The 26712-nt window shown below is 34.3% G+C and overlaps 1 protein-coding gene across 20 annotated transcripts in view; it reads right to left on the bottom strand.

Moving 5' to 3' along the window:
* PCDH15 (protocadherin related 15) overlaps positions 1 to 26712 on the bottom strand; it is a 1825172-nt gene that overhangs the window by 986077 nt on the left and 812383 nt on the right. For 19 of the 20 annotated variants that reach the window (XM_047425663.1, NM_001354420.2, NM_001354429.2 and 16 more), the window contains exon 1: positions 12078 to 12384. The exons of the other annotated variant lie outside the window; for it this stretch is intronic. The gene's annotated coding sequence lies outside the window, so the exon portion shown is untranslated. Of the gene's footprint in view, positions 1 to 12077; positions 12385 to 26712 lie in introns of those variants that run through there. 20 annotated transcript variants of the gene reach the window in all.

Raw genomic sequence — 26712 nt, forward strand, 5'->3', positions numbered from 1 at the left:
AGTGGAATTGCATTAATAATTCACTCAATGGGTCATCGAGTTTGAAGTTGAATTCAAACTTATGAATCTAATTCTTTATAGAATCAAGGTCCTCTAGAAACTTGGTCATTTCCTATATGAAACTTTCAAAGAAGATATTTATATTCCCCATGAGAATAATACTAACTACATGGAATATGGGGTCACATTGAATGTCTCAGGAATTGTTGCTGATTTTTTTTCTATGAGAAAGCATAAGTACGTCTAATATAGTGAATGGCTCCCAAAACATTCATATTTAAAATTCATTTGACAACCAATATATAACATAACATTTATAAGAATGTCTTTGGTATGACCAACACCAAAGCAAATACAAAAACAAAAATCCTTAAAGACATACTATGTGTGAATGTTATAAGTTATCCAAAAATCTTGTTTCTATTTTGTCCCTTGTTAAATTTTTACCCTATGACTTGCTGAGAAGCTGCAGGAGAGAGAATTTCCTGATGAGTTGTCTAACAGCTTATTCTTTCCTCCTGCTATGTCCTCAACATCTATGTTCAATATTAAATTGCACTGCAGCGGAGATGACTGTGTGTGTGTGTATGTGTGTGTGTGCTTTAAGCAAAAGACAGAGGCTTGAGTGATTTAGTAGCTACAAATATAAATCACTGACAAGCAATTAACATATACTTTGGTTCAAAACCAAATATTTCCTTAGCAACAATCATAATCACTATTTTACAGTGAAAATTGGCATATTTATGATATGTTGACATTAAGATATTCAGTAAGCATATTGATGTTTAAATTCCATGTTTAAATGCAACTATTTATAAATCAATCATCCCACAATCACCTTTTCTTAATTTTGAAGTGCAAATATGTGAGTTTAAGATTTTAGATTGACCAAAGTGCTTATTTGTTTTCTTCCACATAGCTCAGTTTAAAATTTGTAAAAAGTATTAAACCACAGGAAAGAAAAGTGATAAAAGCAAATATGTGATTCAGCAAGTTTCTTAATGTTTGAAAGTAAATGGAAGGTCATAATTATTTAAAGCAGAATACAAAAATATCACATTGAAAATGGCAAAATTGGGTGAGTATGGATAACATACACTATCAAATTGACTGGAGAAAATACGACAAACTTAACAAATAAGGGTAGCATGAAAATCAAGAAAGATTAGTGGTGTCAGTTAAAATATTAAATAAAAGTATAGGTAAATTAGGGGGATCCTTCCCCAAGTTCTGAGCAATTTTCCCATAAGACTTCTCCTTCCCCATAACTAAGATTTTATTTTCTGAAGAAATTGTCAGAGAGCCACCAGACTTTTAAGTCAAAGAAAGTAAGGCCAATTCTTTGCTTGAGTACAGGAATGTCTACCTGCTGACAAGCTCTGCTCATACACAGAAGATTTCCAAAGAGCATCTCAGTGCCCAGCCACTAGTGACAGTGACAACTATCTATTAAAAATCCACACACACATTTTTACATATGTATATATTTACATATATATATATACCTATATATGTAAAAAATATATATATGTATTTCCCTCATCTTTTAGAACACAACAAGAGTATTTATCTCAACTTCCCAATAGTTAAACTTGGCCTTGTGACTGAGTTCTAGACAAAGGCAGGTGAGAAGTCCCATGTGCCACATCCCATCCTATCTTGATTTATGAAACCTTCTTTGCAGGCTGCTTATTTTTTTCCCGCAGAAAGTTGTCTGGGGTAACAAATCCTCTGAGCGAGCTTGGAAGCCATGTGTTGCAGATCATTCCCCTGGCCCCAAGGTCCTGTTGACTTAAAATCCACCCACACAGAGATACATGAAAAATAATAAACACTGAACAATTACACGTGAAGATATATATGTTTCCATTGCCTACATACTCATCTAATAATTTAATGTGAATGGAGAAGCAGGATTAATCAGCCTCTTTGAATAAAACCTGAAACCCTAAAAATGGAAAATAAAACAGAATAAAAAATAAAAGGTGGGAATAGGGAGAGGAAATAATAGAGAGGTAGCTAAATAAAACTGCTTTAAAATAAACATCCTCACAAAGATAAGAAAATATAATTTTAAAAAAGCAAATGACTTAGAGGATAAGAATGAGATCTTGAGAGAAAAATATTAAGACCCACAAACAAAAATAACAATAACAACAAAAATACTCAAAATACTCCTAGACCAATTATCTTTCAATCCTAACACAGCACCTGAACTGCTTTTCATGTTTACTAATAACCTCCATTTTTGAAACCAGTAATTATTTATCAGTTCCTGTCTTTTTGGAATCATTAATGGTATTTGAAACAATTGATCCTTATAAGGGCCCAGAGCTCTTCTTTTCTTAAAATAAAAGAAATATGAGGTAGTACTCAGCAATCAAGTAGTCCAGATAGGTCAAATCTTCCATTGAATTTAGCAAGTCATTGGTGACAACAGGTATGGGGCATCTCAGAAAAATAGCAAAGGTGGAAGCAAGATTGCAGTAGAGAGAGTGGAATTGCATTAATAATTCACTCAATGGGTCACTGAGTTTGAAGTTGAATTCAAACTGGAGAATCTAATCCTTTATAGAATCACAGTCCCTTAGAAACCTTGACCTCTTCTTTTCTTAAAATTTAAGGTCCACAGACCTTTTCTTTTCTTAAAATTTATATCCAGCCCAACTTCTCTTCTAAGCTCTAAACTTGCAGGGTTATCTAATTTGTATGCATTATACTCATCTCAAACGTAACATGTTTAAAAATGAGATCTTAATTTGCCTTTCTAAGCTCATGCTAATCTTCCCATCTCAGTGACAATTTTAAAAATCCTGAAGTCATCCAATCTCTCTCTCTACTTCATATCTCACATTTAAGCCATCAATACATTATGGTGATTCTATCTTTAAAATGTATTCAGAATCAAAACCACTTCTGACCACCGCACTGCTAATACCTTAGGCTGAGCCACCATTTCTTTGTGCCTAAATTATTGCTTGGGCTCCTTAATTTCTCATTTCTGCTCTCATCTACCTGTTGACTATTTCCACAGAGCAGGGAGAGTAGCACCTTTACAATGTGCATTAGGAAGACTTCTGATTTCATTAAGAAGCCCCTCTTGTTACAACACAAAAGCCCTGTACACAACACAATTAATGAGCATAGAATGACCCTGAGAAGTAGAAAGAACAAGGTGAACTGGCTAGAGACCTAAGGGCCAACAACAACATGGCAGTGAGCCCTCTGGGTTTCCTTATTCTGGCCCATAATCTGGGGCAGGGCTCCAAAATGGACTGGAATATAGATGCAGGTCCAAAAAGCTCCAAGAAAAATATCTTTACTCTAAACAAAGGACCAGAAAAATGGTGGTCTAAAAACAGAAAAAGTTTTGGGAAATACTTGCCTACTCCAGCCAAATACCAAGGACAAAAATTGCACCATCTCTACCCCACTAGTGACTTCAGCAATGTCAAGTAGGGAGCAGATTTTTCACAAATGACAACCTTGCTTCTGAGAAAGCAGGTAGCTGCCACTAAATTCATCTACTCAAGGAGCTGTGATGAATGGTTTTGTGTGTCAACTTGACTGGGCGATAAGATACCCGAATACTTGGTTAAACATTATTCTGGGTGTGCCTGTAAAGGTGTTTCTGAATGACATTAACATTTGAATTGGTAAACTGAGTAAAGCAGACTGACAACCCAAGTGTGGATGCGCTTTATCTAAACCACTGAAGTCCCGAACAGAACAAAAGTTGCTCTCCCTACCTGTCTTCAAGCTGGGACGTGAGTCCTTTACCATCAGACTTGAACTCAGACTGGATCAATACCATCAGTATTCCTGGATCTCCAGCTTGCTGACTGCAGATCTAGGGACTTCTCATTCTCTGTGATTACTTGGGACAATTTCTTGTCTATCTATCTACAGATAGACAGACAAATAGGTAACCTATTTGTCACCTATCTAATTTCCTATTCATTCTGTATCTCCAGAGAACCCTGACAAATACAGTAATATAGCCAGGTTGAGCACTGGCAGGGTGGGATCTTATATCTCATTCACTACCAGAAAGAAGGAAATGTACTGAGTCCCCCATTCCCAACTCCTACCCATATCATGCTGTTAGCAGAGTCCTCCACCTGGACCACCAGGTGAGCTAGGTGAGCCTCTATTCCTACCCAGTACCAAGCTGACTTAATTAAGGAGGCAATATGAGGATGATCTTGTCAATTGTAGGCTCCACTCCACTACTCCATGTCACCACCAGCACCCAATATCAGTAGGCTCAGGGGAACTGAACCTTCATCCCCACCTGGGCATCAATGAGATTGAAACTGTGTTGCAAGTCTAGGCTAGTTAGCACTGCGCTTTATCCCCACCCTTGGTGTCAGGGATATTGAGTAGCTGAGCCTCCACACCCATTCTGCAGCAAAAAAGTATTGCAAGTCAATTCTCTATTTTCAATATCTCTGGTGGCTCTGGGATACAGGAGGGAAGCTGAGATTTTATACACCCACCCAGAGGCAATGAGGCAGTATAAGTCTGGGTCTTAAAACTGCTGAAAGGAGGACTGCCATTCTGAAAAATCATGGAATTTAGTGGCCAGCATTTTTGAAGACTTAGAAAAATTTATTTTTCTAAGTCAATTTATCTATTGACTATCATGATCTGTGGAATGTCTCAAAAAAATTTAAAGATACAGGTTCAGCAAAGTAAGCTGAAAAAGGCATGAATTAATGATAGAAAAATAAAAAATTAGAAAAGAATCACAATCTATTTTTGCATATTGTAGTAAAGTAGCCATAATTTATATATGTATATATATGCTTATATATACATATATACACACATATATATACATATATAAACATATATATACATATATATACACTTGTGTATATATATGTAAAACTGTGCTTAGAACTTGGGGTAGGATAAAAAATGAGCTGATGGTATAAAATAACCAAATGTTAAATAGCGTAATAGGAAGAAAACAATATCTTGAATCAGTAAATCAAAAGATAACATCATAATCATGTTATTTAAAAATATGTGAATAAATAAAATAAGAAACATCACAAAAAAGGGTTTACAAAGTTGTATAGGAAAACTTGACTAAGGGGCAGGAATGTGTTCTTTTTTTTTTCATTATACTCACAATTTAATGTTCTTTTTTGAAAACAATGCACAGCTATTTCTTTGATTAAAATAATCATGAATTCTAAGAAACTGCTTTGAGATATATATATATTTCCTTTAAGATATATATTTCTTTCCTTTAAGATATATATAAGATATATATATATCTTATATATATCTTAAAGGAAATATAATCTACATCAAAATGGCAACTATTTACTAAACATGCATTTTATTACATAAACACACAGCAATGCTCTTTGCTTTGGCATTTTCTCAATTACACAATATCTTCCATTCAAGTTACCATCTCCTAAAAAGTTATTTGAGAAAATCTTATTTCTCACAATGAAACCTTATTATCTGAAGCTCAGCTGAATATTGTTCTATCCTTAGCCCTAATTTACAAATACAAAATAATAATTAATATAATGTATGCTATTGAAAGCTCAGTATATCCTGAGTGGAAATTTTTCAATAAACCTTATAAATATGCCTGAAATGTTTGCTGTCATTTTTTTGAAAAATATTAGCACACCAATGCAACTATAGCTAATGTTCCAAATGGAGTATTTTATTTCATGCTTACCGTATCAGATGGAATGTAAGGTTAACAGACTTTCAACACCTCTTAAATGAAGGGCTTCATGCACACACATTCAGAAGTAAAATTAATCAGAGGGGCAAAATCTGTACCTACCTGGTAGAGGTTAAATGGATGGCATATTTAAAATCACCATTCATAGCTCCTGGCACACAGTAGACTCTAAATATTTTTTCCTTCTATCATTTATAAGATAAATTCAACAACACATCAAAGAAAGTAGGAAAATAAACATTCAAACCAAACTCTTGCATTCATTCCTAGATTGCTTTTTTTAAAACATAGTCAAACAGTAGTAATAACAAATTTAGTAAAAAGTTCTGAATTGTAAAATTCAAAAATTGTTTAAGTTCAAATTTTTAACATAAAATTGAAAATCAAAATTTGAGTACTTTACTTTCTGGCAAATCTCTTTATTTATCATAATCTGCCTTATAGCTAGGGATAGCCTTAGTACTTTCATATTATACATTTTCACTTACAAACCATACACATTCTTTATGATGATATTTCTCCCATCTTTTCTTGAAATTCAGAAAAAGAAGTATATGTGTGTCTCATTTAAAATTCTCCACACTTCTTAGTTTTATACTTTTTTTCTAACTTAATGGTCCACTTTTCCTTGTCCTTGGTCGATCTTCACTCATCTTACTATAAACATTCACTTACTTTTTAAAAATTCCTACCGCCTCTCTCTTCCAAAACCAGTCCTTATATTAAGTAATTAAATAAAAATGACCAAGTCACCACCAGGACAAAATAAATGTCCATTCTCAAAACTATTACTTCAGTTGGCCTTAAGAAAGTAGGATGGACAGTAGGGAGATATCTTTTCTAGTAATTCTGCAAATCAATACCACCATTCTCTGCAAAGCAGACAGGAGGAAATTGATTGTTTCATTGCAATGTTTCATATTAAAAAACCAAAACATCATTTCAGCTTTTCCATACTCTATGGAAACTAATATTCAGAGCAAATATGTATTCTTTCATCAAATATTTATTGAGTACTTACCAAATTTTGGACACTGAGCTAGTTAGTGGAATTACTAAAATACAACGTGCAAGGCCACAAATGAAATATGCTTTTTCATTTAATTGAGAGCAAGACTATGAGATAGAAAATAATACCTGAGTTTTCCAGGTGATGCAACTATAGCTTATCAATATTAAATTACTCACTATATTCTGTGCAGAATAAGGGTTGAAACAAGGATTTAACTTGACCTCTGATGCCTTGACCTCTGATGACAATGCTTTTGCTTTCAAGAATTATACCTAAATAATTATGTTGATGTCAAGGATGATGATGATGATAAGTATCAATCTCCATTTACTGAAATATACCTTGGTTTCAGGTCCTGTGCTTGCATGCTTTATGTATGTGAATTACATCCTTTTATCACCCTTTACAGAGAGAAACCAAGGCTCAGAGAAGTTAAACAACTTGATCCTTGCTGGTAAGGGAGTGGAATAGAATTAAAGCTCAATTCCATCTGGTTCTGTATTCTTTTCTTTACCATCAATTCTCTATAGCAACAGTTATTGAAACTTGAAGACCCATCTCACAGCCTCTCTCTTACATACACACATTTAATTTCATTCTCCATGCTTGGATCACAGGCTCTCTTCTCTGTCTTTCTACATTATCTATCTATCTATCTATCTATCTATCTATCTATCTATCTATCTATCTATGTATCTATGTATCTATCTATCTATCTATCTATCTATCTATCTATCTATCATCATCATCTAGGTATCTATATCTATATATCAACCTTCCTATTATCTGTATGTATGCCTGTCTCAGTCTCCCTTTCTGTCTCTATCTCTCAGACTTTCTGTCTCTATATCCCTTTCCCTATCTCTTTACATTTTTTTGTTTCATTTTGATTATTATTTGTCTTTCTGGCAATCTGTCTATTTCTGTCTTTCTTGACCCTGTGTTTTCCCGGCCTGTCTGTCACTCTGCTTCTACCTTTCTGTCTCAACCTATCTCCACTTCTCTCTCTTTCTGTTCTTTTCTAAGTGTATATCTCAGTTTCTCTTTCTGTTCCCTTTCTCTTTTTCTTATATTTGACTGTCTCTAACTTTTATTATGTTTTTCCCTGTGAGTCTCTCTCATTTTCTTTGTGTGACTATCCCTGTATCTCTCTTTGAGTTTGTATCTCTGTGAATATCTTTCTGTGACTTATCTGTGTCTGTCTCTGTCTCTCGGACAGAGATGTAAGATTCTAAAGTAATAAAAACCTCTCATCCAGTTTTAATGACCCTTTTCTGGATTCCAGTGATGTGCTGCAAAGTTGAAGAAATAAGTCCCTTAAATGATAAAGCAAAAAGAAAAGTCACTGTCCTTGGATAAACAATTTGCATTTCCATAAGGATTCAGTGATGCAGAATCAGAAAAGGCTCATTCTGACACCTCCATGAAAACAACAGGGAGAGCATTCATTAGCTGGGCTTCCTTTTGAATGATGCACTTCATTGCACACACCGCTGTCCTCCCCCGGTCAGGAAACAGTGCTTAATTCTATCGGAAGTTTGCCCTTTCACTAGGCATGAGAATGAATGACTTTTCAAAGTAATAGGAACTACACATCTGCCATGGCCTGAGAATGCTTACACTCTAAAAGCCATACAGAAAGTTACACCTCCTATCAATTTCTTATCCATCAAGGAACACAATAAACAAGCTTTGAACTTTTCCATTTACCAACTTGAAGGAAAGAAATGCTTCATTTTCTTTAGTTTTTTGAAATAATGACTGCTTTTGCCTCTTACATTTATAGCTTCAATAGCCATGATCTAATTTTAAGGGTGAATGCAACCTTTAAACAAGGTTTATGATATAAAAGGAAATTTGTCCATTACAGTGCTCAGAAACTTTTACTCTTTAGGTGAAAATTATTTTGTTGCTGTTATTGTTGAAACACACACACACACACACACACACACACACACACACACACACACGATCATCTTAGGAAGTAATTGGACAAGATTAAAACAATTAATTGTATTTAAAATTATTTAGCAATTTACAGGTTTCTTATTCATTTTGCTGGCTTCATTTATAAGTTATGTATTTTAAATGTGGACACTGAGGAACAAATGTTTAGAGGGTGTGCTGAGGTTCTCAAGGAAAATAATTGTTGTCCTTCGGACAGAATATGATGTTTCTATGCTCCTTATATTAATAAATAGCACACATGTGTATGTGTGGGCAGGGGGGGAGCGGGGTGTGTCCATCTTACTCAGCGTGACTGACTTTTAGGCTGAGATTAAGTCATACTCGTCTACATATTCTTCCAAGTCTCTCACTTCAGTTTATACACCACAGTTGAAAATTGTATTTTAAGGTCAAGCTAGTCGCTCTCACATTCAAAACTACCTCCCATCCTGCCCCTGCCATCCATACATGCAACGAATTAACATGTGCATTTGGAATTTCTGGGTGTATTCTCGGTTCTTGTCACCATTTCAACCTAAGTGCTTCCAGTATTCAATTTAAATAAACGTTACAGTTTCTGGGTGATTTACACCTCTGGAATTTCTATGGCGACTCTATCAAGAGAAAATAATCTGGCCATAAATTACTCACATTAGCTTTTTTTTTTTCCTCACTCAAAATTGACTATGAGCACTAATGAGTCACCACACTTCCTTCCAATACCCTTGGATGCAACTCAGTCATATTTGAGTCTGAAACTAATAAATGAAGCCCCACAGGTCACTGTTAGTTTTGAATCCACATTCTCTCATGCTATAGTGTTAACGACAACAACAAAATCCCATTACAAAAGAAAATATATCAAACCTCAAACAAAGTTTTAGTTGAGAGTAACAAAAATAGTTTTTGGATGCCATCCCTGACAAGTAAAACAATCTTTTCAATATTATAATTGTATAGTCTTATTTTGCATGTGAAAACCACAGATACATAGAATGACAAAATGATTCTAGTTCACAAGTGGTCCCGATACTAAGAACTCTTTTAAAAAATGGAAAAATACAAACAAAATGACTATGACCAAAACCCACTCTTAAAATAGAGTCTGAAGTAAAATTAAACTTTTAGATAATAAATATGATCATTTTATGAAGTAGTGTGGTCTCTTTGTTTAGATTATTATTTCTGCTAACTTTTCCTTGTGTTCAAATCCTGAGTGAAACTTAAAACCATGTATTTCTCCCAGCATTAGGGCTACAATAAAATGTAAATGTATATGGGGGGCTTCTGTGTTAGGAAGAAGTTAATATAACAGCTCGTTTATGAAAAGCTATTGTTTTACACCATTTAAGTAGGAAAAAAAGTTCCTACAGTCTGAAATTGTATCTGCACATTTACAGAAAGGGGGAGTACACTCATCTACCCAATAAAGTAGTCACATTTATGAAATTACTTTATAATTTTTGGTTTTACATTTTACTATTTTGAGAAGGTTCATAATTTGTCTAAGGAGTAAAAGTCCTCATGATAAAGTGATAACACAAAGGAATCATTAATTCCTCAACATGTATTTGCTTGACGTACGTTTTGTGATCAAATAATTATAGTGATTTCCTTTGATAAAAATAATAATTACCTTTTGCCTTTAATTTCAAACATAAGCTATGAACCAAATACTGGAGAATTTTTGCAAGTGGCATAAAAACAATTTATGTCTGCCTATCTGCTGTGAAAGTTGTATAATAAAAAGATACAACACATACCATGCAAAATTTAAATGTGAACAAATTAAGAGCAAAGTTGTAATGGACATTTATTTTTCACTGGGTTTTTTTAAAGCATAATTATTAGTGTTTTTTAAAACTATAGTTCAGATACTTATCAAATATTATCAGTGGGTATACCATATTTTTAAACATTTCCTAGAAAATGAAATGTTTTATTTAAATCTTTTTGTGAATAATATTCAAAACTTCATGCCATAATTTTCCAGAGAAGTTGCTGACACTTAGGTAGCACAAACTCTGACCTGTTCAGGTCACTTAATGATTATGTTTAAGGGTAATTTGGGGGGCAAAGTTGTAGGGATTCACATTTCCTGCTCAGCACATAATTGCAACAGCTGAGGGGTTAGGAGGTCGCCACTCAGTGGAATTGGGCACCCATTAAATGGCACTTTTATTTCATAGGAGAATGAGTCCACAGTCAAGGGGATCAAGTTGCTGAAACTTGAAGACACACATGTACAGATACATTCACTCATTCACACTTAGCCACAACTTAAGCAAACTAAAGAAACTAATAGTAAAACCAATTTTCTGTGAAAAGAAAACAAAAAAACAGTTCACATGAGCATATACAACAAAGCTTCATACCTGCTGTGCAAACCACAGCAAGCATTTTGCGCTCAAAATATGCCTCTTTTACAGATTATTTGTTTCTCTAATGTTAAGCAACATAATAACTTAAGTATTTGGTTACTAGATTTGACAATTGGCTCTTTTGTGAAAGCAAATGAGTATGACTTGGAGTTAACCTTACAGGAGGCCATCATATTATACTCTAGTTAACAATGGCTTTCTGCATACGTGCTACAAGTCCATCAAATCGATGGCCATCTGTGTGTACTAGAGACACAGAGTATCAACACACTGAACCTGAAACTTGTTATTCAGGGCCCACCCACTCTATAGCTACCAAAGTATATTTTTTAAAGTAAAGGCCACATCACAAAGTGGGAAAGCTGTTAATACTATCTAGCATTAATTCTGTATTAGAAGGATACAGTTGACCTAGATTCAAATTCTAAATGGTTAATGCTTCCAGATACGCACAAAGGAAGTAAATATTCTAATAAACTAAAACATCCACAGTAAAAATATCAGTATACTCACAAAAGACAAAAAATACTGTTCATTGTGAGGCAGAATTAGCTACTTTAACTCAACTGCCAACTATAACCTCCAGCAACAACCACTCATAAAACAAATCATCAATATTTGCACACAGAAAAACAAAAAGTCAATTCTGATGCCATTTTTCTGTATTTTTTCAGGTTGGAGGAAGTAGAAGAAGTGGTTGAGGACTAAAAATTCTTTTAAATAACAAACCAGAGTTATAATTCAAAAGCTTGTGTCTTTGTAAAGATTACATTGTCATCTAAACAAAATTACAATACCAGACAGTAATCAGGAAGAATGAAAGGACAGGCAGTTGTGTTCACTCTTCCAGCAAATAATCACTTGCAATCATTACTACTCTATTCTTTCAACAAGCATGACAGAAAGTAGCATCATGACAGAGATCATTGTACTGAAAGAACATCTTAACTTTCTCTGTGGTTCACTGCTGCCTTAAATTTGAAAAAAATAAGAGAAGGGCGGGGGAAGAACTTACTTGCGGTTTAAAGTTTCATCTTTAGTCCATGTAAGATTATGCAGCAAGTTTTCTTGCCAAGGCTGCCTCTTGCACATCCCTTTAAAAAGAACCAGTGCTCATAATCTAGTTCCAAGACGATTCATTCACATGTTCCACCTCTTGTTTCTGTGAGGCATTGATATCCACTCTCATATCATCAAGAAAATGTTACTAGGAAAATTTTTAGAAAAGCAAAACAGTTCAACATGTTAACTCAGAAAGCATACCATCATTCTCCACGTTCTGAGATGTATGCCACCTGCCTTAGTTACCACAAGCAACTAACACTAAGCTGCTAGCAGGAATCTGTCTGCCCTCTATCTGTCGCTATTAGCTCAGCACGTTGATTTCACTGGCACTGAAGCAACAGCAATTAGCTATCTTGCTTCTCGCAGCACATACAGGAGACAGCTGAGTGCGCTAAACCACGCACTGACTGGTGAGCGCTTTGCACCAATTAGTAGCAGGTGCTACAGCCCAAAAGACAAATTGATGTCCACTGATCATCGGTACTGGCTGCTTTATTGTACTGTGTTCGTCAGCCTGTCTGATGATTCTCTGTTCTGTTTTGTGTGTTTGTTTTTACTGTTTTACTTTATCTAAGAAGTTTAGCAGCTTACATTCAATAACAATGTCGTTGACAAGATAAAATAATCTCTTAAGCTTCTTTTATCATTCTCTCTGTCTCTCCCTCTCTCTCTCATTAAATCTACCCTCTTATATGAAGCCCTCCACATCTTTGGGGCATAAAAACAAAACAAAACAAAACAAAAAAACAATTTCACAACTTCACACATTCTGTAGGAGCCAAAAGTACTCTTTAGATTTTTACAAACACGTGTGACTGGTAGTATATAAGGTTATCACGAAGAAATATACTATACAAAACATTATAGCATATTTCTTAAACATTGTAATATATGAAATCTCCAAAACAAAGTTTTACAGATGGACAGGTAAACTAGTAAAATACAATTATGTCATATAAATCAGAGAAACATTTCTTAAGGAATCTATCTTGCATAGTACATATTTCAATTCCATATTAAATTTCACCCATGTGTTCACCTGAGCATATGAGAAGGAAGGATCTAGAAACAAGCAATTTAGGAACATATTTTAGTAGTGATTGTGACAGAGCAGATAGGCTGAGGCTGGTTGAAAATGACAGGTGAAGACTATCACAGACAAAAGCCCCAGAACACATGTTTTCTTAATGAACCATGTGGATTATTTACTAGGATGATACATTAACTCTAAGAAGAAAAAGAAAACCATGCCTCCAGAAATGTTGCCGTATTTATGCACAAGCATTTGCAGAAAATAACATCTCATTTAAAACAAAATGGACTTATCTTGCAGGCTCAGTTTTCCAGAGGGAGGGAAAAATCTTTAAGAATATGGAAATAATCTGAGGCAAGCCAAATGTGTTATACATTTTAAACATTAACACGTGTAGAAGTAAATCAGATAATTATAGATGAACCCCTTGAGCCTCAAGTGGAACCCATTTGTTTTTATTTTATGTACCACTGAAACAAACTAAATTACTTGCTTCCTTAAAACCACAGATCAGTGGGAGTCAATGAGGACTTGTAATAAGTGAATACATTATACACTTGTTAGAACTGATATTTTTAGATTTTAAAATTGATGTGTTAATAAAGATAACTTTATTGATACATGTTTAAATAATGAGCATATTTTGTGTGAGAAGTTTTTCTGTTCATTTCACTAAATGTCTCACCTGTGGAGCAATCCATATATTGATATTTGTTGAATAGAGCAGCTGGTATTTTAAGATTGTTTCAGTAACCATAAGAATTATTAAGTGTAGTTATTTTTCTAATGACAATTCAGCCTCATTCGTGGTAATGTTCAATGATAACTCTGATGACACATCAGAAATATAGCTAGAAAACAGAAAATTTTATCCCTTCCTCATCTTCTCAGAGCAATTCAATTATTACTAATTGAACACTTGTCAATGACAACAGCTGATTTTCATTTTCAAAAGTAAATTACAATATCTAGTTTTCAGAACAACATATTTAATGAAATGTGAAAATGCAATATTTACTTCGGGATGAATAAAGGTTAAGTTTTAACCAGTTTGAAAACACAGTAAGCAAAATGGAGTCACTGTAATATTTACTACTAGAGATGATATTTTCTTTGAAAAAAGTGTTGCATAATATTCTGTCACCTCCCCTGCATTGTAAAGTCCACTTGAATCCTACTCTGAATATGACATTTAACTTCCTTTTTTCTCTTAAAATATATCGTGAACATTCACTTCTATAAACACATATAGGTTTAAATTATCATCTATGTTTCATTGCATGTATATGTATATTTTCTTTAACAAAATACCTATTTTTTGACAGATAGTTTCTAATTTTAATATATTTGTAGAATCCTGGTTTAAGACGCTTAACTTTCTGAACTTGCATTTTACCACCCTTAATCAAGGTCTTGAGTTAAGGTGGCTGGGGAGGAGTGGGATAAAGTGCCATGTAACCAAATGACAAAAGCTTGTGAGCCTTTGTGCTCTGGCTTAGGGGTGGGTCTGAGGAAGAGGCACCGTTTTTTTTCTTTCCACAAAGGCAACACCATGCTATCCACTATTCATTTGTCTAAAGATGCTTTCTCTAAAATTCACAGAGGTGCATGTGGACTAGACACACTGCTCATACAGAGTGGTCTGTTACATGAGAGAGGAAATGTAAACTGTCTACCACAAAGTCTGATACACAGGAGTTGCTCTTTAAATCATAGCTGTCAATCATAGATACATGAAATTAGGTTTAGTTTACTTTACGACGGAAAGAGATTGTATTAGGTGCTTTAGAAAGATTTTGAACATTGAAAACATTAACATTTAAAACATTTAAACATTGATGATTAGAATTTTATTAAAAAATTTTAAAAGTCACATAATACAGTTTAAAAATGAATCATTAAATCTATCAACTATAGAAAAATGGATATATAAATTTCATTACATAATTTTAAGGATAGTTATATAGCTCTTGAAGTACTAATTATGAAACATATTAAAAAGTGGTAATAAACAAAATAAGCTGTCAAAAAAATTTTCTTTTTTTTTTTTGAGATGGAGTCTTGCTCTTTCGCCCAGGCGGGAGTGCAGCGGCGCTGTCTGGGCTCACTGCAAGCTCCGCCTCCTGGGTTCACGCCATTCTCCTGCCTCAGCCTCCGGAGTAGCTGGGACTACAGGCGCCCACCACCACGCCCAGCTAATTTTTTGCATTTTTAGTAGAGACGGGGTTTCACCATGTTAGCCAGGATGGTCTCGATCTCCTGACCTCGTGATCCTCCCGCCTCGGCCTCCCAAAGTGCTGGGATTACAGGCGTGAGCCACCGCGCCTGCCAGCTGTCAAAATTTTAAAGTTGAAGACAAATAGTATACATTCCCTGTTAATAACTGCATTCAAACATGTCCATATTCATAAATACTGGCAATGCCATGATGAATATAAAGTGATGATTATTGTAGAGACCATGCTGAATCTTTCCCTTATGTCTGTTTTCATGGATTTTTATTTCTTAAATTCCTTTTTGCACCATCTTCTTGTCATTCACCTCCCCTTCCAAAAAAAAAGAAAATGAATATGTTTAGCAGATTTTTGCTTCTTCATGTTGGTTCACAAATATATATTCTGTGTTTTATTCTAAATCTTCATCTAATTGTATTAGAATTTTGTGAGTATTTTTCATAAAAAAGTATTTTTTACATTCCACAAAGCAATGATATAGAAACACATAATGCTCTACTGTATGCCAAAAATTAGCTACATCCTACACACAGCTGTGAAGATTACCATAAACATTTGTGTTCATGCCAGTTCATCTGTGCACTGGTATTTAATGAACAATGAAAAGCAAATATCTAGTCAAAGATACAAACTTTCTTTTTCTGTATTTAATTTTTTTGGAATCTTGACTTGTTTTCATAGTAGATTATATATATATATATATATATACAGAGTTTGCTACAGTGCAAAGCTAGTTCTCTCACCAGCAAGAGAATTAAAATACTGTTTATGCCATTGACTTACTCTGGCAAATGTATATATTAACTAAATATAATATTTCTTATAATATTTCCAGTGTTTTGGTAGGGAACATTTCAAAGTATCGGGTTAAATATAGCAAACCAATACTAACTCATATATTATTCTCAAATATATGTCTTTGAGAAAGGAAGACATAAGAGGATTTTGTCTATCCTCAGGATGAGGGCTGAGTCCTGGAGTCAATAGGAACTGCAAAGTAAAGAGAGGTAGAGAAGGCATTTTTTTAAAACCCAGGTTAAAGTTTTACTGAATGAAGGCCTCTGCAGTATTATCAAAATAGCCTTGCTCATTACAAGCAGTGTCTCACCAAATTGCCTGGGATCGAGTCATTCTAGACGACTTATTGTCAGCAGTCATTTAGAGTTGAGATTCAAAGCTGTTGGTTATAATCACAAAAAGACCTTAACCAGGGACTTGGCAACTGGAGGGTCATCTGTATTCACACCAATAAGTCTTTGTCATGATTTCATGTTGCATAGCTTTGTTTTTTATTCTGACACCCTTTTATTGTCAGAATTCAAGGTAGACATAGTTAATTTAGTTTCTTGCCAGCAATATCTACTTTCACTTTTTTTAACCCTAGCACTTACCTGTTTTATAGTGACAACTTGAGGGATAAGGAACAGTATAATCTTTATTTAATACTTGTCTCTGCTGAGTTTCCAACAGGCAGACTGTTATTTGAGAAAAGCAATTTGGGATATAATACAGTAGCTTAAGGGCAATGCTCCAAGAAATAACTAATTTCATAAAATTATAGGTGTATAATAAATATACAATGTGATTTAGTAAAATATGTAAAGATGTTGAACTGTTCACATCATCTTTTAAAATATAATTCTTAAAGAGTATTAAATTTAGAGCAAGAAACTTATTTCTAAGCATTTCTGTTGGGCTTTCAAATAGGGACTATTTTTATGCTTGAGTGAGATTAGGTATTATAAAGTCAAATTATTTGAATATTTCATATAATCTAAAATTATTTGAAACCTGGAAAATAAAACTAAAGAGAAGTGCAGATAATATTTGTAAAATACTTTTTTAATTTAACAGATTTATTATTTAGAGCTATCTTATACTTTCCTTAGGAATACTTCTGGTATTTTCCTAAGGAGAAGAATTTAGACTTTACAAAATAGTTTAATTGGTTTAAACAGAAAAAAAGAATTACATACGCTACCTCTTCACAATTCCAGTTTTTATATGCTGGATGTATTAGTATTGTATTGTTGTATAACAAATTATCCCAATTTTAGTAGCTTGAAGCAACACACATTTATTATTTCAGTGTGAGTCAGAGGTCCAGATCAGGGTCTCACAGGCTCTAATCAAGGTATTGGCTGGTCTGAGTTCTCTTCTCAAGGCTCAGCTGGGGAAGAATTCAGGTTGTTTGGAAAAAAAAATCATTTGGTTATGACTATATGACTGAAGGTTCTGGCTTGATTTTTTTTTTTTTTCTGAGACGGAGTCTTGCTCTGTCACCCAGGCTGGAGTGCAGTGGTGTGATCTCGGCTCATTGCAACTTTTGCCTCCCGGGTTCGAGCAATTCTCCTGCCTCAGCCTCCTGAGTAGCTGGGATTACAGGCACCCGCCACTATACCTGGCTAATTTTTTTGTATTTTTAGTACAGACGAGGTTTCACCATGTTGGCCAGGAAGGTCTTGAACTCCTCACCTCGTGATCCACCCGCCTTGGCCTCAAAGAATTCTGGGATTACAGGTCTGAGCCGCCTCGCCTGGCCTGAGCCACCACGCCAGGCTTAAGGACTCTTGGCTGAAGCTTGCTTCAGGCATTAGCGGCTCCTCTTAGTTCCTTATGCCACATGACCTCTTAATAAGCAGTTTAAAACATGGCTGATTGCTTTTTCAAGGCCACCAGGAGAAGCTATGTATACTAGCAAGATAAAATCTTACATCTGTATTGCAACGTAATCGCAGGACTGATATCCTATCACCTTTGCCTTAGTCTATTGGTTATAAGCAAGTTATGATTTCCTCCTGCACTCAGAGGGAAAGGATTTATACAAGACATAATGCTAGTGGCCCAGATAAAGGGACCATCTTAGAATTCTGTCTGCTATGCTGAATTATTTCCTAAAGTATTTAGCATATTCAGTTAGACAGCAAATTATATCTAAATGTGTAGAAATAGTAATTTAGTAAAGTTGTTGAAAATTCTGAACAATCAAACATACTTTCAATAGGTTTAAAAATCGTATAGAACATTTTATATGTAAAATTATACATAATTGTATCAGAGAAAAAAGAATAATATGAGCCCCATCAAACTACAAGCACTTTGATCACTTAGTTGACATATTTGGAACTGGAATAGTTGTGAAAAATATTTCCAAAAATAAACCAAAATAAGTATTAAAAGAATCTCAGTATAACCTTAAGCTACATGCAACAGAGGTACAACACAAACTGTAGGATAGTGGCTACTATACATTGTACTTTTTGTATAACTTGCTAGGAACTTGGGAACTTTTTTTTTCTCTTTAGTGAGTAAAATAAAAGGTCAAGCCAGCCTTATGTTGTCTGTCTTTAATAGAAAATTCCAGAGAAGATTACCAAGCTAGCCTCTTAGATTTCTTGAGTCTAAAACTATTACTACATACAAGGTTTACTTATTTATATATATATTTATAAGTATATAATATATTGATAATATTTATATATAAATATGGATAAAGTATGCATATACTTATAATAGTATAAAAATTCACATGTAAACAAAAACAAAGCTATTTAATAGGTAATGACTGAATTATTTTGATCACATAAAGCTTTTATTTTTAGGCTGTAAATTATAGAATGAGTATAGATTTAAAATTATCTTCATCACTTTTCTACATTGACAGCCTGTGGAAAAATTATCAGCCTAATATTTTGCTGAAATGGCCTCAGTTATTTCTAATTACAACATTAAAATTTTAAAATTTATATAAATTTTATAGTTCTTTGGCGTTCCCAGTTTCAACAAATATTAGCCGAGCACCTTCTTATACCAGACACAACATTAGATGCATTTATCTAAATATTATCTTTAGATAAAATGAGACAAATCACTGATGTCTGCTGTAACCGAGACTGATATTATATTACTTTTTATATTTATACTGGTTTCTCTTTAACTCAGTAATCACTATTTTAGGCCATTCAAGGAACAAATTTTGAAGCAAATTTTAAAAATAATTTATTCTGTCTGTCATTCTTTGTCTTTTGCATTCTCCTCCAAAAGCAGCCTTAGACAAGGTTGTTGAGGGAAAACTGGCATTTATGCAAAATCAGAGAGCACATGTGTTAGACATTTCCAAATCAAGCCCACATAGAGAGGGAATACAGAGTCTGAGTTACTGCTGAGCCCAGCAAGCTGCTTCTTTGCATGGTAGAGCAGATTGAAATCAGCGAAGAGGTGTTGAGTAGATGCAGTCATTTTATTCACTTGCCCTCTATCAAGTAAGGCAATAACCCAGGCAGTCTCATCTTTTAGCTCCTACTGCCACCTTTTAGAGCCACCATCAAAATCTGGATCCTAAAGAATAATGGACAGCTGATTTATTTCTTGGCAATTATTCAGCTAGTTCCAAAATGTATAAAATTTTCTTCCTTCAAATCCATGTTCTGCTGGAGTGAAGGAATTTGTAACAGCTTTATAGCTTCATTTAAAGGAGTTTCATAATTTCCATAGCAACAGATAACCATGTCACATATTTTGGAACAAGGTCAAGTTCTACTCCAGACTCAAAATGCTATGACAGGATAATTCTGCAGTTAATGGAAACAGGTAGAAATATAGAAGCAGGGATACCTTCCAAGACACATTATATCTTTAACTAAGCTCAAGTTCATTTTTAGGCTGATTTAGCTCTAGAGAGAATTTAAGTGGCTGGGAAAAGAAAAAAAAAAAAACCAACACAGATTGTATTAAGACGCTACCCTAATGCTGACAACCTGAGAAACAGTATTTTTCGTCCTGATCTTGACAATAAAATCTGACCTGTGTGGCCATAGTAAGAGAGTATAAATTACACTGAGGGATACTCTTTGCAAATTTTTAAGGTATGAATATTATTTGTAAATTACTTAACCATAGGGTATCTTGCTCTATCATGTTAGGAAAGCTGTTGGATTCTAAAATTGCCATTGATTCGTACAATCTTAATCCAGCCCTTAGATTGTATCAACTTTCTCTGTTAGTAATATCTTCCTAGATTTTGGGTTTACTTAAATTTATAGATTAAATAAAGGAAATATAAAACTCAATCTATTAGGATCACTGATTTCCTCTGTAATTCCTACACAATTCTGACAGTATAAATGAAACTTAATTCTGGGGAAGTTCAAAAAAGACATTCCGGCAAAAAATGAGACCGTTTAAATGCTTCAATTTTTAGCATTTTTATGTTAAATGCCAACATAGTAAGAAATTACAAGTTTGGCAAATATATTTCAATAAAAATATAATGAGAATCCAGTCTCCTGCATAGAGGAATGCTTATTACACACTATGTATACATTGTATTATTATCTCCTTTTCAGAAACCTCATCTTATCTCAATCCATAGAAACACTATCTGAAATGCTGCATGTTTATTTATTCAATATTGAGTGCCAACAATGTGCCAGGCAAAGCTGTAGGGATTGGTAACACAATAATAAGACAGGCATGAACAAAGCATGTAAAAGAGTGGATATTCCTCAGAATAAATCTGGATCATTGAAAGAGACAAAGAACAAAAAAAAACTTTGTTGGACAAGGAAGTTGACTATATTGTCAGTTTGCTCAAGCCAGAATTTTCCCACTTTAATACTTTTGAGTAATTGAAACAAACATAGATAATTTTTCAGTCACCTTTGCTATTAGAATGTGTTACGCTAGCCGTTAGTAGTTTTAAGACTTAAAAGTACATTTTGGGGGAAACAACTTAAACATTCAGAGGAGATGCTTCTCTCAGTTTCAATTTGATCAAACATTTAATATATTTTCTTCTGAAAAGTGATACTTTTGTTCAATGTTTCTCAATGTGTGCTTTTAAATAGCCTCAAGATGCTCCCCCCAAAAATGAATGCTCAGGATACTGTAGTCAATTTTCAAAAATAAATAATAAACAGAGTACTGGATTATCTTCATCGTCACCCTTGGGGCATCTTATGATAAGTGGGTCTGTGTGCAATGTTCAGGCATAATAAGTTTCGGATTCTCATTCTTATCTCAGAAGTATTGTTTTTATTATTGTTTATTTTTCACCTCATATACCAAAGAACAATTCCACCTACCATTACAGTTTGCTATGTGACCTGGAATTTTCCTTATTACAGGAGTAGGATGCGTGGAATATCCTGGCCTAGAGTTCTATTAAGGAGTGAGTGCCTCTTGCAATATTATGTCTTCCTGGTTTGCCTACTAATGTACCAAATATGGATATTGTACATCTTTCTAGACGTAACATCAACAAATTGGGAAAAAAACACAGATTTCATGATTCATATAATAAAATATGTCACAAAAAAATAATATACTTTAATACCTTGATGGTACCCCAAATCTTTTGCATTGATTCTAACATTTTCACTCTGTATTTCATTTTAAAACAAGTGTCAACCCCTAGAGTGTACAATGAATGTGTTCTGCTAAACTCTATTAACAAAGGACCCTATTTGAAAATATGAGAGCTAATTTTATTTTTCTCCTGATAGAAAAAAAATAATTGCAATAAAAAAACTAAAATTTAAATTTCCAACTTAGCTGAATTCTGAATCAAATATGGTTTTCTTTTCAAAACATAGGCTAATTTTTGAGAAAATAGGTTTGATTAAAGTAAGCTATGGATGAACTTCTACCTTAAGAATTCTTTTAAACATAATGGTAATATAAAAATAGTATTATTCTTCATAATACTGTGACTTTGGAGGATAAGTCAACAAGGAGTAGAAGAGCAAAAAGTATCTGTAGAAATTCATAAGTGGAGTAATCCATTATGCATCTATAGTCGTAAGTTTGAAGACTACAACATTTTTACTCATAGTTATTTCATATTTTTAACAAGTAGAGTTTCAGAAATACATTGGGACTACTCAATATTATGTGTATATATATATATGTAAATATATATATGACAAGTGCAATGTCATCTTGACAACATAAACAAATGTGAACATTTTCTTTAATGATTTGCTTCTAACAGCATGTTCACATAAGCAAATAAAATATTTTTCCTGAGAAAAATTTATGGAGGATAAAAAACACATATAGATTCTCCAGGGCCCAAGCACTGATGCGGTGTTTGATATAGTTAATTTCATGAAAAATTCTAGTTTTGAGATCTTTGAACTGGGCCATTCTCTTTCAACTTTTGTTAGGCTGTAAATTTTTATGAAACAGTACAACCATCGCTAATTCAGTTATAGCTAAATAATTTTTTTTATTTTATTTTTATTTTTTGAGATGTATTTGTGCTCTGTCACCAGACTGGAGTACAGTGGCAAGGTCTTGGCTCACTGCAACCTCTGCCTCCCTAGTACAAGCGATTCCCCTGCCTCAGCCTCCTGAGTCGCTGGGATTACAGCCATGCGCCACGACGCCCCGCAATTTTTTTGTATTTTAGTAGAGACGGGGTTTCACCATGTTGGCCAGGATGGTCTCGATCTCCTGACCTTGTGATCCACCCGCCTCCGCCTCCCAAACTGCTGGGATTACAGGCGTGAGCCACCGCACCTGGCCAGTTATAGCTAAATAACTATATTTTAATAATCTATTTGTGCTCTTAGAATCATCTCAGTAAATGTAACTAAACTGAATAATTATGAGTTTAACAACATGAATGCAATCAGTTATTCCCTAAACGGCAGTTTTAAAACTCTTCTAAAGTTTATTTTTCATTTTTTAAAACTTCATCTTAAATCCTGTCTCTCATTTATAAATATACATCAATAAATTATAATTTCTAAGAAATCTTAACTGTAAGTCCTTCTCCAAAGAATAAGTGCATCTCCATAATTCTTAATTAATCAACATATTAAGCTAAGTAATAAAGTAACATAAATGATGAAAATATGAGAATATCAGTTATAAAACATTTTTATAAAACAATCCCAAGTATCAAGAAGAATAAGTTTCTATTTCAGATATTCAAAAACTCTCCCAATACCAGCTTAAAAAAACAAAAAGTAAACAAACACAAAATTGTTGGTTCCTTCCAGTTGCCACCTTCTTCTCTTCCTCTTCCTTTTTTTTTTTTTTTTTGAGACAGTCTCGCTCTGACACTCAGGCTGAAGTGCAATGGCAGGATCTCGGCTCATTGCAACCTCTGCCTCCTGGGTTCAAGCGATTCTCCTGCCTCAGCCTCCCAAGTAGCTGGGATTACAAGTGCGTGCCACCACACCCAACTAATTTTTTGTTTGTTGGTTTGTTCTGTTTTGTTTTGTTTTTTGAGACGGAGTTTCACTCTGTCGCCAGGTTGGAGTGCAGTGGCGCGATCTCAGCTCACTGCAACTTCCGCCTCCCCGGTTCAAGTGATTCTCCTGCCTCAGCTTCCCGAGTAGCTGGGACTACAGGGTCCCACCACCATGCCCAGGTAATTTTTATATTTTTAGTAGAGACAGGGTTTCACCATGTTGGCCAGGATGATGTCGATCTCTTGACCTCATGATCCGCCTGCCTCGGCCTCCCAAAGTGCTGGGATAACAGGTGTGAGCCACCACACCCAGCCTTTTTAAAATATTATTATTTTTCGTAGAGATGGAGTTTCACCATATTGGCCAGGCTGGTCTCGAACTCCTAACCTCAGGTGTTCCACCCATCTCAGCCTCCCAAAGTGCTTCCTCTCTTTAAATAGCAAACTCTTAGATATCAAACTTCTTCCAAGAACACTATCCTCACTTTGCACTTACTGTTTTGACACTTAAATGTGGATTCTAACACCTACCTAAAACATTTCACTGATTGTCATAGATGCTTCAATTTCCAATCTTCCCTTTCTTTGCCTTTGGCTTTTTAAAACTTTTCAGAACCTCCAACAACCTAGAGTTTATTTTCCTGGATTGCCGAACACCATGCTCTCCTGTTTTCTCCTATGCCTGTGGCTCTTCCTTCTTAGTCTTTTGGTGGTTCCCCTTTTCTATCTTTTCTCAAATTTTTAAAACATTTAGATTTTGTCCTAGGCACTTTTCTCAATACATTCAACCTTGTCTTTCTCCCTAGACTTTTATGCACTCAGATAACTGAGGTTTCCCATGGAGCAGATGATGCCCAAGTTTTCACCTCCAGTGCAGATCTCCGTTCTCACATACCATCTGCTTAGTAGATGTCTCCATGTGGTTATACCAGAAACTCAAAACAGATTTGCAATTCCCTTGAAACCTTCCACTATTCACTACAGTGTACTTGTGGTCTAGCATTCTCCCTCTCTGCAAAAGATACCCCCATCTATGCAGTTGCTGGAGTCAAAAATCTGAGAGCAGCTCTTTTTTTGTGTTTGCGGGGTGGGGGATCACTTTCATTCCTAATATTCTCTTATCTCTTTTCCAATCAAACACATACCAATACAGTTAATCATACCTCATAAACATTTCTCAGCTCTATTCCTTATTTATTCTCCAACCTCTGTGTACCACAATCATTGTTCTTCAAGACTACAGCAATCGTCTCTTAACCCTTCTTTTCTACCACTGTTTCTCTTCAATCTATTCTGCACATCATTATCAGAATGACATGTGAAAAAGATTTCTGATTAAGTCACATCTCATTTAGAATCCATTACTGTTTTCTGAAATTTGTTTAATGTCCACAGATCTTTACATAATTTCAATATCTAGTTTTATCTGGCCTCATACTTCTTTTCAAAATTTATTTTATTCCACTCTCCTCTTGTCTACCTACATTTTAGTGATTCTGAACACTATTTAATTAATAAAGCATGTCACAATCACTCCAGACTTATGTCCTGTTCATATGCTAATATTTCTGCTGAAAAAAATGATTTTAATTCCCAGTCTACCTCCCACACATATATTATGCCAGCTAATTCATAGATGTTCCTAAAATCTCAAATATCATAAGCTCCTGACAAATTAAACTTTATATTATAAGCAAATTTATGTGTCACCATAACATTGTGTAATTTGTCCTTTATTCCTCCATTTGTTTTACAATGTTGATCTTCTTAACGGGACCATACAGTTAATGACATCAGAGACTAGGTTTCCCTTGCACTATATTCCAGAATCTGGCATAATGACTGGCACAGAGCAAATAATGGATACATACATGTTTATTTAAATTCATTTTAAAAAGTTTCATTTGTTAAGAAAGTACAGAAATGACAACACAGAAAAAAATTAAACGTGTATCTAACAGGTAAAAATTAATAAAAAAGTATGGCAAAAATATTTGTGTATGATTTCTATTTAGTCTTTATAATAACCCTTCAATGTGGTCATTATACCACATTTTACAGAACAGAAAGCTGAGTTCAGAGAAGCTAAATATCTTGCAATTCCTTGTAGCTAATAAATAAATGACAAGTCCTTATTGTAACATAAAGGGTCTTTTCTGATCTGGTCAACACTTTCTTCATCAGAATAAGGTCTTTCTGTTGTTCCATTTATATCCTATATATCAGCTATAAGACATGATTACAGTTCCCCATTAACACATTAATGCCTGAGGTTGCAATTTTTTGAATTTTTGCAATCAGACCTTTGTGTTGACCTTGAGCAGTAGGATATAAATAATTCCCACATGCTTAGCGTTCCAATCATGGAACACTAGGCATAAATGGCCAAATATGTTTGTGCTTCTGAGTCTTTCATCCTGTTTCCATCTGATGTGAGGCTATTTTATTTCTTGACCTTCATACCACCTCCCAGACATTGGAAATCTTGTTTATTCCCTTGAATCTTATACTTTTCAGTTAAATAGTTAACATTGTGATAGTGTCTTTGTCACCCAAATCTAGTCAAATGCCCCTCTTCTGCACCAGGAGCACCAATGATCACCTTTATTTTAACGTACCTCACTAAAGTTGACCCTTGGACAATAAGGGTTTGGACTGTGCAGGTCCACTTATATGTGGATTTTTGTTCAATAAATATGTTGGTTTTTTTTTTTATATTTGTGACAAGTTGAAAAAACTCACAAACTGTGTCACCTAAAATATTGAAAAAATTAAGAAAAAAGTATGGCATGAATACATAAAATATATGTAGCTACTAGTCTATTTTATTATTTACTACCATGAAATGTACATATATCTATTATAAAAACTTAAAATTTATCAAAATTTGGGCACACAAAGACCGTACATGGCACCATTCACAGTTAAGAGAAATGTAAACAAATGTAAAAATGTAGTATTGTAACTGCATAACATTTACTGCATTATATACTGTTCTACAGTCATAATTTCATAGCCAGCTCCTGTTGCTATTGCGGTGAGCTCAAGTGTTGTGAGTATCCTCTTAAAACACAATGTGAGGTGGATCATCTCTGCATCAGCAGTTCATCTCTCCAGT

This window comes from Homo sapiens, chromosome 10, assembly GCF_000001405.40.
Source record: "Homo sapiens chromosome 10, GRCh38.p14 Primary Assembly".
NCBI lineage: Eukaryota > Metazoa > Chordata > Mammalia > Primates > Hominidae > Homo > Homo sapiens.